This window comes from Homo sapiens, chromosome 5 (genome assembly GCF_000001405.40).
Source record: "Homo sapiens chromosome 5, GRCh38.p14 Primary Assembly".
NCBI lineage: Eukaryota > Metazoa > Chordata > Mammalia > Primates > Hominidae > Homo > Homo sapiens.
The window spans coordinates 24,486,784-24,503,308 of NC_000005.10; the positions used below are offsets into that span (position 1 = coordinate 24,486,784).

The 16,525-nt window shown below is 33.0% G+C and overlaps 1 protein-coding gene across 5 annotated transcripts in view; it reads right to left on the reverse strand.

Annotated features, from left to right (window-relative positions):
* Positions 1-316: 316 nt before the first annotated feature.
* Positions 317-16,525, reverse strand: part of CDH10 (cadherin 10) — a 157,879-nt gene continuing 141,670 nt past the window's right edge. For 3 of the 5 annotated variants that reach the window (NM_001317222.2, NM_006727.5, XM_011513923.3), the window contains 4 exons: positions 11,615-11,736; positions 6,034-6,142; positions 4,793-5,044; positions 317-1,370 (listed from right to left, as the gene is read on the reverse strand). In NM_001317222.2, coding sequence (NP_001304151.1) covers positions 880-1,370; positions 4,793-4,886 — 585 coding nt within the window. In that variant the 5' untranslated portion in view covers positions 4,887-5,044; positions 6,034-6,142; positions 11,615-11,736 and the 3' untranslated portion in view covers positions 317-879. The remainder of the gene's footprint in view (positions 1,371-4,792; positions 5,045-6,033; positions 6,143-11,614; positions 11,737-16,525) is intronic. The other 2 variants (NM_001317224.2, NM_001362460.1) reach the window with 2 other exon arrangements.

A 16,525-nucleotide genomic window follows, 5' to 3' on the forward strand; every position in this document is an offset into this window, starting at 1 on the left:
AAATTACTGCATTGTTGGTGTCTTGAGATATTTAGCATAAGGATGGCCATGTTTTAAGTTTGTTTAAATGGCAAATTTTTATGTGTTTTATAAATGACTATTACTTTGTATATGAAGAGTTTTCCACATATCATAGCATATCAAGACTCGCTGGAAAAATAATTCTTGCCTAAATCATATTAATTTGGTTAGCACTTTCAATACTAATGATAATGACATTGTGTTCTTACCTGTATGTAAGGTAATTTTGTATCAAGATATTTAGTTCAGGGAGAAAGTCTTCCATCCTAGGGAAAAAAAGAAGCTACAGACAAAGTAGTTGTAAAAACTGGTTTATTTTTTTAAAAATAAATACAAAAATATAAATATAAAACATTAGCAGATAGAATTTGATGAAATGAAATTGCACAAATGTCTGTATACCAGGTTGCATATCACACCTACTAACATCACATGTACATTTTTGTTTTTTTAATTTAATGTACAGAACAGGATATACTGTAAAATTTTTCTTCACCTTTTTAAAAGCTTCATTTGCAAGGGCAGGACATGTACCTAACAGAAGCGGCTTGTTTGTGAGGTTGCTTAAGGGAGAACTATCCTGTTCATGTTTCTGAAATTATCTTTTATTTACTAAGATGGACAACACTGTATTTCCATAGCTTTGGCTCTTGGAAGTGATTAAATAAAATGTCATATATATTCCATGAGACATCCTACAGGAAAGAATTAATGTAATTAATGAACAAATTAAGAAGTAAATGAGAAAAAAAATTGTGCTGACTGGCAGGAAAATGCTCCTGAATATCAAATATTGTGAAGTGGAGACAGCATGGGTAGAGTTACTTTCTCTTGTTTGAACAGAACATATATCCTACGTTAAGAGTCTTTGTCACTTTCCCCACCACCATACATTTCTGCTAGCTTATTAAACCGAGGGCCCCATTCTCGGAGGTAATCGTAGTTTTGGTCTCCTTCAGTAGTACCTGATTCTAATGAACTCAGAGATTCAGCAATGGAATCATTTCCTTCATAGGCATAGGTTGCAAGTGAGTCGTAGGGGGGTGCGGTGGGGTCAAGATCATGCTCTTTTAGCCTTTCATTAATGAAATCCCGGACGTCCGTGTTATCTGGAGCTGTAGGAGTCCTCCGAGGAATAAATAACGTTTCTGGAATAATATCTCGCCGGAGCTTTTTTTCCTCAATGGCTGCAGGATTCCTCAGGGTGCCGATATCAAAGGCCTGGGTGTCCTCCTCTCCACCACCCTCATCGTTATAGCTCACAATGTTGTCTCTGATATCTTCTTTTGACAAGATCAGAGGCTCTTTTTTTCGCTGTCTTTTCAGAGCTGCAAACAGTACTACTATAACTTGAAAAAAGACAAGAAGATACATTAGACGTCCGTTCAAAACACTATAAATAACGAGTGGAAATACTATAAAAGAGTTTAAGTTACTCAGGCTTTCTATAACAGCTTAGACTTTCAGATTAATTTTGTGCTTCCCACAGTTTGGGGGAGGTGTCAGGGGAGACGCTGAAGGGTTTAGCAAGGGTGGGTGGTGTTTAAGATCAGTGTTTCTAATTTATTTTTAAAACAACGTAAAATATTCCTTAAATATAGTGACTTACACTTTATTTTCCTAGGAACCATTTAGTTCCTCATTGTACAGATAATATTTATCTTCTGCATTAAATAAGGAACATAAGATACTATATAAAATTTGTGTGTATAAATCTACACAAATTGAATTCAGCTTCAAGTAAGACAATTTAAAAGGACAACACGATGCTTACTTTTTTCAAAGCATTTACACAATAGCAAAAAGCAACATCATTCACAACATACTGAGTACTGACTTCTGTTAAATAGCTTTGCTGATGAACTTACATATTTTTGTTACTTTACTAAAAGAATGCTGTAATTATTGGAAAAAAAACAGATTAGTTAGAGTTAGATGAATTTAGAAATTCCTAATGTTTCCATGAAAATATATACCTTGCATGAGACCCCCCCCCCAAAAAAAATTGTTAGGTTATAAGATGGCAAAGAGTAAATTTCTCAAATTGCAATACTGAACTAACTCCCCCCAAAAATGTATGAATCTTGGCTAGATTCATAATAGAAAAGTGCACTGCTCAAAAAGAACATTTTCCCACTTCAATGAGAGACAATATTCATAATCAAAACAGTGGTAATAGCATAAATGATAAGAGAAAGTTAATATCAAATTCTTCTGATTGCATTAGAGTTTCTCACCCTTACTCATTATTCCCAAACATTTTGATCCTCAACCTTTAAAAGGATTTGAGGGAAAAAGTGTGAACTCAATTAGATAAGATAAGGATGGGAAGACTCTTACTGGATATATATATATGAAGAAATATTGATACAAGTATTTATTTAGCTTCTTAGAACACACAGAACACACATTTAAAGAGTATGTAATTAATTACATTATTATATGAAGGGATATTAAGTTATGTTTTCTTTTTTATTAACATGGAATGCACAGACTAGTTTGTCTTCAACCTGTGAGAGAAGGCAAACAATAAACTTTTTTAATGTCATGAAAAAGAAAGTTTTAGCTATTGATAAGTGTTCTTGCCCAAGCAATTAAAAAGCAAATAGGCAGAACTTTTTAAAAAGTGTATTCTTCAAGCTTTTAAGAAAATATGCCATTTTATTTTGCCTAAATTCATATATTTATGCACATGAAAATGTGTAAAGATTTTAAATCTCAGATTATTTATCATCAACCAAATGACCTTGCCCAGCAAAAACTTTCTAATGTTGAGGATAATGACAACTTATTACAATTCGCTCCAAGTCCAAGTTCATTTCCCTCTTTTTTGAATGTTTTTTGATTAGGGTAACAGAAATACTCACAAAAAATAGGTTTAAACTAACAAAACTAGAGAGAATGCTTAATCTGATTTTAATTCAAAAGCAGTTAAAAGCAGTCTGCTCATGACTATAAAATGAATTATCATTGTTTGGGGGGAAAGTAAACCAGGTAAAAATCTATTTTAATACGATTTTAGTGAATATGTAAGATAGTGAGGCCTCCATCCAGCCATAATAAAAGTGGAAATACAGATTCCACTGGGAATCTCTGTATACACTGACTAATAGCAAGGTACCTTAGCTCAACCACTCAGAAATTGTGTGACCTTGGAATATGTTCTGAATATTTTGAATTTTCCGTTTCATTATGCATAAAATGAAAATAATAACACCATACATGCCAGACATTTTTTTGTCAAGTGAAAAAGGTTGTCATGGCAAAGTGCCAATGAGAGTCTGAAACACAGTAAACACGTACTAAAAACTTACTACCATTAATATTATTCTTACTAGAGACTTTCATTTTAATTACATATTTTAATAGAACAAGTTTTCTATATGATTTAAAGTATAAATCCCCCAAATAAATATTTATATTATTCATATTTGCAATTGTGGATTCAACTATTGTAAAGCACATTTATTAACTTTTCCTCAATGTTTGTTGTACTAATGGTAAGTCAAATTATAAAAATAAAATTATACCAAATTCTCATTCTATGAAATAAAATGAGGTATGCATTTTTTGTAGTACAGAGAAAAGTTTTGTTCTGGATTTCATTTCATAGTAACAAATTATAAAATATATTTTTTAATACGCACGTTCTCATTTCCTGAACTACATAAAAATCTAATCTTGAATTATTCAATTCATTCATTTAATGATTTATCTACCATAAGTAATTTACCTTTCTGTTATTTAAACACACAGTGAAAGTGCATAAATGCTATGATAAAAGTAGAAAAGTGGAAACATCTATAGAATGAAGTAGACATAATTAAGTCAAATAAAGAACGTGGAAATATTTTTAATCCATTTTTGTTGTTGTTGCAGGCCTTAACTTCATATAAAAACATGCTCTTTTTATAATCATAAAAATATTGCTACAATTTATTATTGTCTGCATTATTTTAAAATTTAAGACTAATGTTAAAGTTGTATTTAACTTTATTTTGTATATATGAAAAGTTAGCAATTATTGAATACAGGAATGCCGATGGGAAGTGCTCATATGTCAAGTTTTTGAATTGTTATTCTAACAAATGTTATCAACTTAACCTTTGTCTTTGTTGCTTTTAGTCTTATTGAGATTGATTAATGTCCACCTTACAGAGTTGGGGTTTGAGACCCTACTATTATCTTCCATCTCTTCCAACCCCTACTTGATTCCCGTATGGAGGATGTTTCAGAAGAACCATTGCCCCAGACTCTGTTACTACACCACTCAAGAGGAAAATAATGGGCCAGCAATAAAATAACTGGGGTCCTGGCCACTGATGCGTCTCCTTTCATTTGTTCACTGGACCTAGGTTCCGAAGATCTCTTAATTCCATTAGAACATTCAGCATGGCTACCAAGAATTTTGTGTCTCAAATTTCCAAGCTCCTACACATGCCATTCTGCATTCATTGTTCTTGCTTTTTCCTTTGTTTACTGCATTGTGGTGAAAGACAGTTGTTGTTTTTTCTAAATATTTTGATTCACACTGGAATGAATTCTAGGCCCCATTAGGTAAAGTTCCACTATTACTACAACAAAAATTCTTTATATATTCGTATATATTCCGATCAAATAAAGTATTTTAATATAAAGAATATCACAAAGTTAATTTATGTCTATCTTAAAATTTGGGGTGGTTTTGGGGGAGGGATTTTAATAGCCACAATTCTTCAAAATCATACTAAAGAGCCTAGAAAATGCTCCCATTGTTTTTAAGGTTTCTTACCCAGTAGAATGATGATGCAGAGGAGGATGGCGATCAAGGCCCCAGTGCTGAGGCCGGCAGGGAGGAGCAGGGCTTCAGCACTGCAGGATTGCATGTTGCCTTGGCTGTCACAAGCACACACTCGAATGGTCAGTGTGCCTGTGCTGCTCTGAATTGGGTAATCATTGTCTGATATCACCACAGGCAAGAGATAGGTACTGATTTCATGTCTATTGAATCCATTTTTTCTGGTTAAGATTCTGGCAGTATTATCTAAAACAAATTTTAAAATATTACAAATGGTTTGGGATAGTAAATTTTTCCCAATGTGATCACCAAGGTTTAACATATAAATAAAAACATATTTATGTAAAATATAAAATTGATATACATTTTCCTAAAAAACAAGTACAATGCAATTAATATATAGATAAGACAAATAATCAGTTTGAGAAATATACTATAAATTGTTCATTTATTAGGTTTTCATGTAATTCCTCAGTACTGTTTTCAAAGTGGTACATTTTTATAAGTGAATCATTTACCAAGATTACAGATGATAACAACTGGCTTTTCTCTTTTCAAAAAACCTATTTTGCATACCAAGAGAAAAACCATACTAAATGTGTGTTTTTTAATTTATGTGCATCTGTGCGTGTGTGCTTACACACATACAGAACACACATCAATCCAATACTCATGAAGAAAATGGATTAGGTAAATTTCACGCATTGTTGCATGTTTTAAATCAATAACAAAGTAGAAGAAGGTTTTTTAACCTTCAAGAGGCATGCATCTTGCCATTGCAACAGTACCTTTGTAACAATGCCTTCGTACTGAATCACCTCACAGGCTACTTCTCATTCTTTTCATTTCCTTATGTATATTTGGCTTTGGTGAATCTGCTGCTGCTAAATCTCACTGAAGTCTGCTTAAGAGTCTCACTGAATCATTCATTTTTCTACCCTATGTGTCCTATATTATTGTTGTAAGAATTATCTCCAGCCGTTCTAATCTTATCAAGACACAATCATTTTTTAACATCCATAAAGAGACCTCTTTCAGATATTTTATTATTTTAAAATTGAAGACAGTACACATTGCCAAAGATGGCTTTACTAAATATATCAAATACTTGATTAAAACAAAATTGTATAACTCAGATCAATAAATTGATATGGCATATATATTGCAATGGTTACACTCGGGAAATTTCCTGTTAATATCATCATAAGTCATAGTGAACAAGTTCTAAAATTTACCTTCATTATCCTGTACTGTGAAGTTTGGATTGACAGCAGCTAAACTGAAAAAAAATTTCTGTCCACCTAAAGGGTCATCTTTGTCTACTGCACTTATAGTCTGTATTAGCTGCAGAAAAAGAAAAATATATCTCATCAATATATCTCTTATCCATGGGTATAATCTGCACTTAAGATCTTCATTTTGTCTGAAGTTGTTCAAAATAATTGACTTTTATTTCATGTGAATGTATCCTTGAGTTAATCCATCTTTTTAGTATTACTTTGATTTTAATAATCTCTCCCTCTCTCATCTCTGTGTCTTTTGGATCATACCCTTTACTTCAAAATGGTAAATAAAAAATATATTATTTAGGGTTTTATTAATTTAGATATAGCACTTAAAATGAGATTATTTTATATGCATTTACACATTGATCTGGAAGAGTTTTTCGAATGTCAGAAAAATTTAGGAAATTATTGTGACTATGCTTTGTTTTTCCCCAAAAATAAAATGAAAAATGGTCGAGGAATGTAGAGATTTTATAGGTAATGTTATATATTACTTTTTAACAGAGTCTTAAACATTATTAGAAACCTTGAGAGTAAAAGTTCAATTAACTTACACTTTCAATAAAATTGTATTTTAAAAATTCAGCATATATAATATGTGTGAATTATTTTAAAAGGGTAAACTCTGATTGATTTTACGGTAGGAGAAAACATAAGACGCTATATGGTAGCAAAGTAGACAATTTAGCCCCTAATATATAATCAGATCACTGCTTTGGACATATGATATGATTAACTAATATACAAATATGTATGTATGATGTATATATATGTAATAGGTAGGTTTTTTTGCACCTATCTTCCTTTTGTTCTTTAACTTATATTTATAATACAATTTGTATATTTTTTACATATTTTAATTTTGAAGATGGCCTCAAAAGTTGTTAAATATGTACACTGATGCCTACATAGTCAAATTTATGTTTAACTAAAAGCAATACACTTTTTACTGCGTTAACTCAATGTTGTGTGGATGCTGGATGAAAATATTTGTTGTTGATGTCTTGTTGGTTAAACAAGTGATTTCAAGTTAAAAACATTATGTCAAAAATCACAAGAAATAAAGAAATTATTACAACTATCTGTATTAGATTACTTTTCTTTTAAAATGTCTTAGAGCAATGAAAATGTGATATATTTGTGGTAGCAATCTATTTAATTACAACCCTAACCATTTATTTCAAAAGGATACAAGAAATATAATTGGACCAAAGATTTATATTTATTGCCTAGAAATAAGCAGCAAGAAAAACATCATTTAAAACTTTGAATTATTTCAAAAGTACATTTTAAAAACATAGCAACATAATTATTTGACTAAATTTTAATTGTAACTTAAAATTAAATGTAAGCAAGAATTATAAAAAAGCAAGAATATAAATCTATTAAAATTAATAAAGTCAAAATATTGTTAACTAATACTACTTAAGATGTGTCAATTCAGTGAAAAAACATTTCTTGACTGATTTCTTGTCTGTCAAATGTACTCTTAAGGATGTCATTTTCAAATAATGATTTATAAGTATATATTGAAGAGGAAAAAATGACATAAATGGAATAACATCAAAAAAGACAGTAGACTACTAGAAATCCTTAGTCATTAAGATTAATATTTTAACATTCACATACAGACACAAAAAGTGACCGAAATGTAAAAATAGGGCTAATGGCCTTTGAAAATGGAAACTCAAATGTTTCAAAATAAATATACATTTCCAACTGTATATTTTCCCTTAAAATAAATTTACAAAGTATAATTTCAATTTATTTTTACAGATCAAAATAATGCAGTTCAGAAAACAAATAGTGACATCTTTACATATATCTATAATAAATTTTAAAAATTAACATTAAAATCTTTAATTAAAATGTATTTTAATCAAATATTATAGCACTATTGATTTAAAGATCAGTAGTTAATTTATACATTTTGAATATCATAAAAGGGGTAAGCCAAACTCATAGAGATGACACAAACAAAATAGAATGATGTGTTGCAGAATCTATATTACATTACAGTATATTTTTATGACCTTAAGACTTCGCTACTGCAGATGGAGGCACTTACATCCTTTACAAGATAATAGGTTTTTTTTTCCTTTAAGACATTACTTCTAGTGTTCAATTTCTTCATATCCTGAATTTACCTCTCAATCTAGTCTTCCTTTCCATTTTCAACCATATATTAAAAATCACAGTGCTTTTGTTTTGGTAAATGTGCCGTAAAGACTGGTAACAGATATCAGAACTTGGCAACAAGGAGGTAAAATTATTTTCCCTGGCTCTTTCTATAAGCATCCACTGTTTTGTTTTTGTTCTGGAGACAAACTCATTTTGGTCCATTTCCAATAAAAAAGTTTGCCATAATTAGGAAACAAACAAACAAAAACTAGTGATTTCCAGTATTCATTTTGAGCATTTGAAGAAAAGTGCACAGAGAAGTCATTTACATTTTATCTCCTTAGCAACAATATAATTGATTTCTGTCTTCACTGGGCTGTTCTAAAATAATCTTAAATCAACTTGAGGAATGTTTCAGTGTTCATATTATTACAGTGTCTGGAACCGTGAATGGGTTTTAAGATATTTAAAGTTAGAAAACTGGTTAAGTTTTCATATGTTTTAGCTTTTTCTATGGGAAGCCTTGGAGTTTCCGTTAATGAGAACATTTCCTTTGTGCTAGTAAAATGCACCCTTTTGGCCAGGCGCCGTGGCTCACGCCTGTAATCTCAGCATTTTGGGAGGTCAAGGTGGGCGGATCACAAGGTCAGGAAATCGAGACCATCCTGGCCAACATGGTGAAACCCTGCCTCTACTAAAATACAAAAAATCAGGCGGGCGTGGTGGTGCGCACCTGCAGTCCCAGCTACTTGGGAGGCTGAGGCAGGAGAATCACTTGAACCGAACCCAGGAGGCGGAGGTTGCAGTGAGCCGAGATCACGCCACTCACTGCACTCCAGCCTGGCAACAGGGAGCATCTTCCTCAAACAAAAAAAAAAAAAGAAAGAAAGAAAAAGAAAAAAAAAGCACCCTTGAACCCTTTTCAGTTGTTAGGGAAGTAATAAGCATAGAATTGATTTCTATTTTCACTGGGCTATTCTGAAATAATCTTAAGGAATGCTTCAGTGATCATATTATTATGGTGTCTGGAACAATGAATGGGTTTTAAGATATTTAAAGTGACAAAACTGGTTAAGTTTTCATATGTTTTAGCTTTTTCTATGGAAAATATGTAATGGGATATTTTTGGTTTCTTAAAGGCTTAGTTGTCATTTGGTTTCATATTTGTTGTTAGTTGACATGTGGTTTGATAAGTCATTTAGATACTATTGAAGGGAAATATAAGCAGCATATACAGATTTCCTTGGGAAATCTGTGGTATTAAATTCTTTCCATGAAGATTAAAATCATTAAAATGTATTTTATTTACTTAAAATATATTTTATTGACTCCAGGAGTAGGCATGAATGAGACAAGATAGAATGAAAAACAAAAACAGCTAGCCCTCTGTCCTGTCTTTTGCTGAGGTCCTCTGACTCTCTCTGAGATGGAAAAGGTGAAGGGTCAAGCAGCCTAGTTCAGGCACACGAGGGGACTACTAATATTACATCAGTTAAAAGTTGCAACATTTCCAAGGAGAAATTCTACACTTAGATCAGAAAATAGGCAAGAGCAGGGAATGGTCATTAGTTTTATTTGTCACCTCATTTTGTCCACAACCAAATGAATGGATAATTGTCCATGTCGGTGTTCTAAGTGCTACTCTTAAAGAGCAGTTAATTCAGAGGAGTGTTGGGTGGACTGAGATATACCTTAAGTAACTAAAGCACACCTAGGAACCCTGACATTCTTCTGCTTTCCTAGGAGAAGGAGAGTCAGAGCTAACAAATTAATTTTAAAAAGGCTCTGAACAAGAATTTTATCAAATTACCACTTTGATTTTGCCTGCTAGGATGTCATAACCTAGAATCTCATCCCTTAATATATAACAGTTTAGTTTAACCGAGGCATTTTTCAGCCTATGAGACCGAAGTGACATCTAACAAACTGGTCTTATTAGAATTTGCCTGTATGGGAGGCTATTGCACAGGCAGCCAATTCAACAAAAAATATTAATCATCCTCTTCCTATCAGGTGGGTCAAGATAGGCTAATTCCCTTTTTATTGAAATCATCTTTTGATTATTTTCCTTCAATACACCAGCTGTTTTTTAAATGTCCAAAAGGTATGGAGACGTTGTGAGCCAGTTATAGTGAAAAAGAAAATAGACAGAAGGAAAATAAACAAACATACTTTCTATTTTGTATATTTTGAATACATTTGTAAATCAGTATTTATAATGACTTGAGTGCTCTGAAAAGATATCTTTTGAAAATCAAATAGAATAACCATAGAGGGAGCGATGTATGCAGCAGTAGCAAAGTGGGTAATTTATCTCTTAGAGAAAAGACTTCAGCTTATATCATGCTGAGCCTGCCAAGCAGAGGACGATTTGGAATGGTATTTTTGGGGCGTGCACTGTTTCATTAAGTAGTAAGTGGGAAGCAACTAAGTCATTTAAATATTCCAAATTAAACATTTCCATAACATTTTCAAGTTAAAAAAAATGAATCAAATTGCAGCAATTTTACCATATTCAAACAACAGACAGGCTATTGAATTCTTGTTAGAATCTTCAAAAGGAAGAATTTGAATTATTCCACAATATAATTTGCATAAAAATGTAACAATGACATTGATGTTTATAAAGAGTATCAAATAATGTCAAAACATAATACAGTTTCGTGATGGTTCCTTTTTTTAAATAAACACATTTGATTCCCAATTATTATTTATACCACGCAGCTTCCTTCTGTGAAGATAGCACTCAAACCAATTAAGAGCATTCTCTTTCATTCACATACACTGGAGCTTTTCAATCAACAAAATGAGTCCACTGAGGAAAAGACTTACAGAATTATAAACAAAGCTGATGCAGAAAAAATGTTTTAAAGTACTAAAACCAAGTCATTAAGCACTTCATATGCTGCTGTAATGATGAAATGCAATATGTAAGTCTAAGGAGGAAATTCTGCTGCCCTGATGCAAAACCGTATCTGCACACATCAGAAAAGTGATTAAATATTCTGCTGCTCCCATACATTTGTCTCTTGTTTTCCACAGCATTCGTCTCTCATCTCTCTAGCAGGTACCAGTATTTATTTAATGACACAGCAGGCGGTCTTAGGGGTTTGCTTGTCTTTGTTTTTGAAAATTTTGAAAGTAGTTATTTTTTCTTATGCTTCAACTTTTGTGGCAACAATAAAATTTTATTCACACATTAGAACTTTACAAAGGAAATATGAAACTGGTATATGGTTTTAAAAATATTTTCACCTTTAAAAACATCAGTTATGGTTTTTAAAAATTATATTGGGACTCTATATGAGTATTTCCATCTCTGTGTATTCTTTCCTCTCAGGATTTTGAAAAGAAAATATTTTGCATACAGTTAAAATCTTTCCAGAGTTTTAATCCTGTAGGGGCTTACCTGCCCTGGTCTGGCATTTTCACATACAAAAGTGTCATAGAACACAGCAAACTGTGGGGCATTGTCATTAACATCCAAAATTCTCACAAAAACAGCCACGCGTGTTGTCTCTTTGGGATTGTCTGGAAAAGGGGAAGAAAAATATTGTTTAGGAAGATAAATTGGTGCATCAAATTTAATTTATATAGGCATCTTGTGGGTATGAAGTGCTCACATACAAATAAGCATTGCAATCATTCTACTAATATAATGAGCAAATGCAATAAAGAAAATTACTGCAGAGCCTAATTAAGTAGTCATGAATTCAGTTATTATTGGGCACAAGGGTACTATTATTATTTTGGAAAATCATGTTAAAAGTACAAGCCAGTATAATTGAGTTCACACTATATTTGCGTCCTTATTGTCCAAATATATAAAATAAGAACACTTACTTATTAAATCCTTGTTATACTTCATTATAATTATATCATTTAATTTTTAACCTTTTTTGGATGAAGAAATAGTTTTTTTTGTTTGTTTTTGTTTTGTTTTGTTTTTTTGAGCAGCAGCAAGATTTATTGCGAAGAGCAAAAGAACAAAGCTTCCACAGCGTGGAAGGGGACCTGAGCGGGTTGCCCGAAGAAATAGTTTTAAATAAATTGGTAACTTATCTAAGGTCCTTCGCTCGTAAGTGGTAACTGTTATAAAACCTATGTCTGTGACTACTTTTATCACCAAAATGTATTTCAACAACTGCTGTCAAATTTCTGTTTGAAAATTTTATTATATGGCTACTTATCTTACAAACTAGTTGGGAAATTTATGATGAAATATGAAGATTCACATATTTTATTAATATAGTTATTGCTGGTACCATCTCAACATTCTAGCTCAATTTTGCATTACAATCTATTGTCACAAATTAGCTCAGTAGTAAGAAATAGCATACTAATCATACCTTTTGCTATAAATGCTGAAATCAACAGCATCAAAGTTCTCACATAAAGAGATGCATTTCTGGCTGGCTCATGCACGATGGCTCGTGGCTGTAATCCCAGCATTTTGGGAGACTAAGGCAGGTGCATCACTTGAGGTCAGGAGTTCGAGACCAGCCTGGCCAACATGGTGAAACCCTATCTCTATTAAAAAATACAAAAAATAGCCAGGTGTTGTGGCAAGAGCCTGTAATCCCAGCTACTTGGGAGGCTGAGGCAGGAGAATCACTTGAACCCAGGAGGCGGAAGTTGCAGTGAGCTGAGATCGTGCCACTGCATTCCAGCATGGGTGACAGAATGAGATTCCATCTCAGAAAAAAAAAAAATGATGCATTTTCAAACTTGTTTTGATATGTAAATTAATAAAAATATAAATACCACTTTATTTAGCTTAGCTTTGAGTAACAACCCTGTATTGGTTATAATTGCATTTTTCCTATTATAGATTTTTCTAGGCACTTATGCTGGCTGAGAGTATGTTTACATTTTAAATTCAGTTTACATTCATCAGATTTTATGATATCAATATCTCAGTCTTTGGATACAGTTAAACTTCTGTGTACATTTTGGAAAAGTAAAGCTGAAGAGCAATATAATGCAATAAAGACTATAATTAGCTGAAAACAAAACAAAACAATAGCAGAATAGCTAGGGGACAGCAGCAACCTTATTAAATGGTCTCAACCAACATGGGCTGTGGATATCATTTTGCCTTGTAAAATTTATCTGACGTCTTAAGGTAATCTAAATAATTTTCAGATACAAAGGTAAAATATATTGTCACATACAAATAGGAAGTATATTACTACTAAAAATAATTTATATCCCCTTGTTCTCTCCATATAATTGAATGTTACTCCAATATTAAAATCAGCACTTTAAAAAATGATATATAAGAACAGACTGCTTAGCAGGGATATATTTACAAGGCTGAGCGAGAATAAAGAAAGGCAGACAGAATCGAAGTGTATTTATCACTTTTTGCAAGAGAAAATTTAAAATGCATCCTTTCTTCACCAATCCTTTTAAGTCTTACTGCAGTCTTCTGAACCCACATGGATTCAGTCGTCAGGTTCTAACTTCTTATTTGCTAATATGTTGTTGCATATTATCCACTTGTTCGTGTACCACGAGGTTTAGCGTTCAGGCCCTGGGGTCTAACATAGCTGCTGCTTTGATTCCCAAGTTCACCACTCATTTGTTATGTTACTTTGGCCAATTTACTCCACATATTCAATGTCTTGGTTTACTCAATATAAATCAAAGTAGAACCTCTAATCTCACAGTTACTTGTAAAATTAGGAGTTAATGCGTGAAAATTTCTTATGAAAGTATCAGTTTAATGATCAGGACTCAATATGCGTTGACTATAATCATTACCATCATCTTTATTATCATTATTATATCTTCTTCACTTTCTTATGTTACTTAAAAACTTATGCTTTCTCCACATAAAGTATTCACCTAATAAAAATACATTAATTAGCCTTTCTACCATTCAAGTGAGTCTGAAGAGGTATGCATTTGAGAAGAAGTGGAGAGAGGAGGGAAAATAAAAAGGAGAAAAATGCTATCTCATTATTTTCCACTTCCTCTATGCCAGACCATTTGCTAATACCCAGAGCCATGGGGTTCTCTACAAATGGACCTTTTGCTATCTACTTGTTGCTATGGAGAAAAGTGGGAAGGTATGCTTCTTCCATATTTTCTGGAATGTGCTCTTTAACCTAATTATATAGTGAGTGGACATAAGCAAAATATTTCCTTTCAATATAAAGTCTTGACATAAAAATATCCCTTGTTGGTAACAATTCACTTTCTAATGATGCCACAGAGACAGGAGAGACAAAACTTTCATAACTAAAAAATTCCGTCGTCAGCCCCTTCCCTAACACAATATAGAGATTCTCCAGGGTCTTTACAAATAATTCAAGGCTCTTAAAATCAAAAGCTAAATCCACAGGGATGAATGTGCTTTGTAAAGCATCGAGCCTGGAGCTACCTATTCAAAAAACAGTGCTTACACTAATTTTTTGGCTGGCAGATGCTGTCGCTTATGTATAAATAAGAGTATAAAGTGTTCCAAGGAAGAATCAAACTGAATAGCAGCTGGCATATATTTACCACCTGAGTTTCTCTCAAAGTTCTTCAGGGAAACACTACTATAGCAAGAAGGTATCAGCAATAAAGGATCTTAAAATGTATGTCCTAAGGTGAAGCCATGACGATGCATCCATGGGCCTTTTCATGCCTCCAAAGAGAGAAATTTTAAATCATTATCTAGAAATCACAGACATTAGAAAAATATAACTGTTTTACCTGCTTTGGGTAAGAATTCTATGAATAAGAACTACGGTGTGGATAATAGAGTTCTTTAGTCATAAACTTAGTTCTATTGTCCACAGAATGTATTGCAATGATTAAAGTCAAATTTTCAGAGGTAGTGAGAGGAGCTCTTTGGTGTCTATAACAAATATGCCCTAAAATCCCAAGTTTATTATTAAGTCATTGATTGTGACCTTAATTTTAGATGTTTTATTCTCCACATGGCCTTTTTTTTTTTAGAGGGAATCTCACTCTGTCGCCCTGGCTGCAGTGCAGTGGCGCAATCTCCGCTCACTGCAAGCTCCGCCTCCCGGGTTCACGCCATTCTCCTACCTCAGCCTCCCGGTAAGCTTGGGACTACAGGTGCCCGCCACTACGTCCGGCTCATTTTTTTGTATTTTTTTAGTAGAGAAGGGGTTTCACGGTGTTAGCCAGGATGGTCTCGATCACCTGACCTCGTGATCCGCCCGCCTTGGCCTCCCAAAGTGCTGGGATTACAGGCGTGAGCCACCGCGCCTGGCTCCCACATAGCATTTTAAAATATTTTTGAAGAAGAAAAAGAGGAGTTATTCCGTGATATGATGCACTAAATAATTACCTGGAGTGGTGCCTGCCATATGATGTGATATATTTGTATGTATGGAATGTAGAATTAAATGATTAGAAGAAAGGCCTTAAAACATATTGGTAAGAAGTACATTTGAACGTCATTGTGTCCTGCTCAGGGCGTGATGTATGACACACTGACTGTAAAGTCAGTGTTTAAAGTCTAGTAGAAAAAATTCCTTGTATGCTGTTTCCCTCTCATCCTCGTTGCATTTAATGCCCAGAACAGAATAATGGGATCCTGGCTGTTTGTGGTTTGGCAGGTAGGCATTTTTGGCAGTTGTTCTACAGATTGATTTTATTTGAGGACAAAAAAAAGATTCAGTCCTTTAAAAAAAGAAGTAATTGGCTTAGCTTTTTACAGAACTGTAATTACTTCAACTAGCTTTAGAAGTTAAATCTCACAAAATATCTGTAAGGGAAAATGCAATTCCTTGTTCACTAGGCTTGAATAAGGATATTGAATCAAGCAGAGAGCACAATCATGATTCTGAAATGACCAGATTGGATCATGTTAGGTACATCTAACTATGGGGATGTGGATACAGATAGAAATAAAAGCTTTCCTTAGAAGAAAAACTTGGAAATATTTAGTTAGCCTTAAAATCAAAAGCTAAATCCACAGGGTATTGAGCTTTTATATGCCATATATAGCAATTAAATGGAGAGAACAAGGGGCTATAAATAGATATTTATATCTCACTATGAAAAAAATGGATCATTTGAAATTAATCTGTATTTCAGGGGCAGATGTAAGAAAGACGCTAAATCTATTACTTTGTCCTGAAGCTTTTAGTTCATTGCTGATGATCTGTCTAGCCTAATTCAATTGTTCTGGGACACTTGGTGATTCGGCCCCATCCAATGCTTTGCCTTCCAAAGCCTGTAGTGGTTACTTCAAATAAATAACTTGACCTTGATACGTGTTTGTGGATTCAGCTTAGTATTACAGATCTAAAATTTATGGGCTTAATTTTTAAAAACGATTCTGTCCCTAATTAAT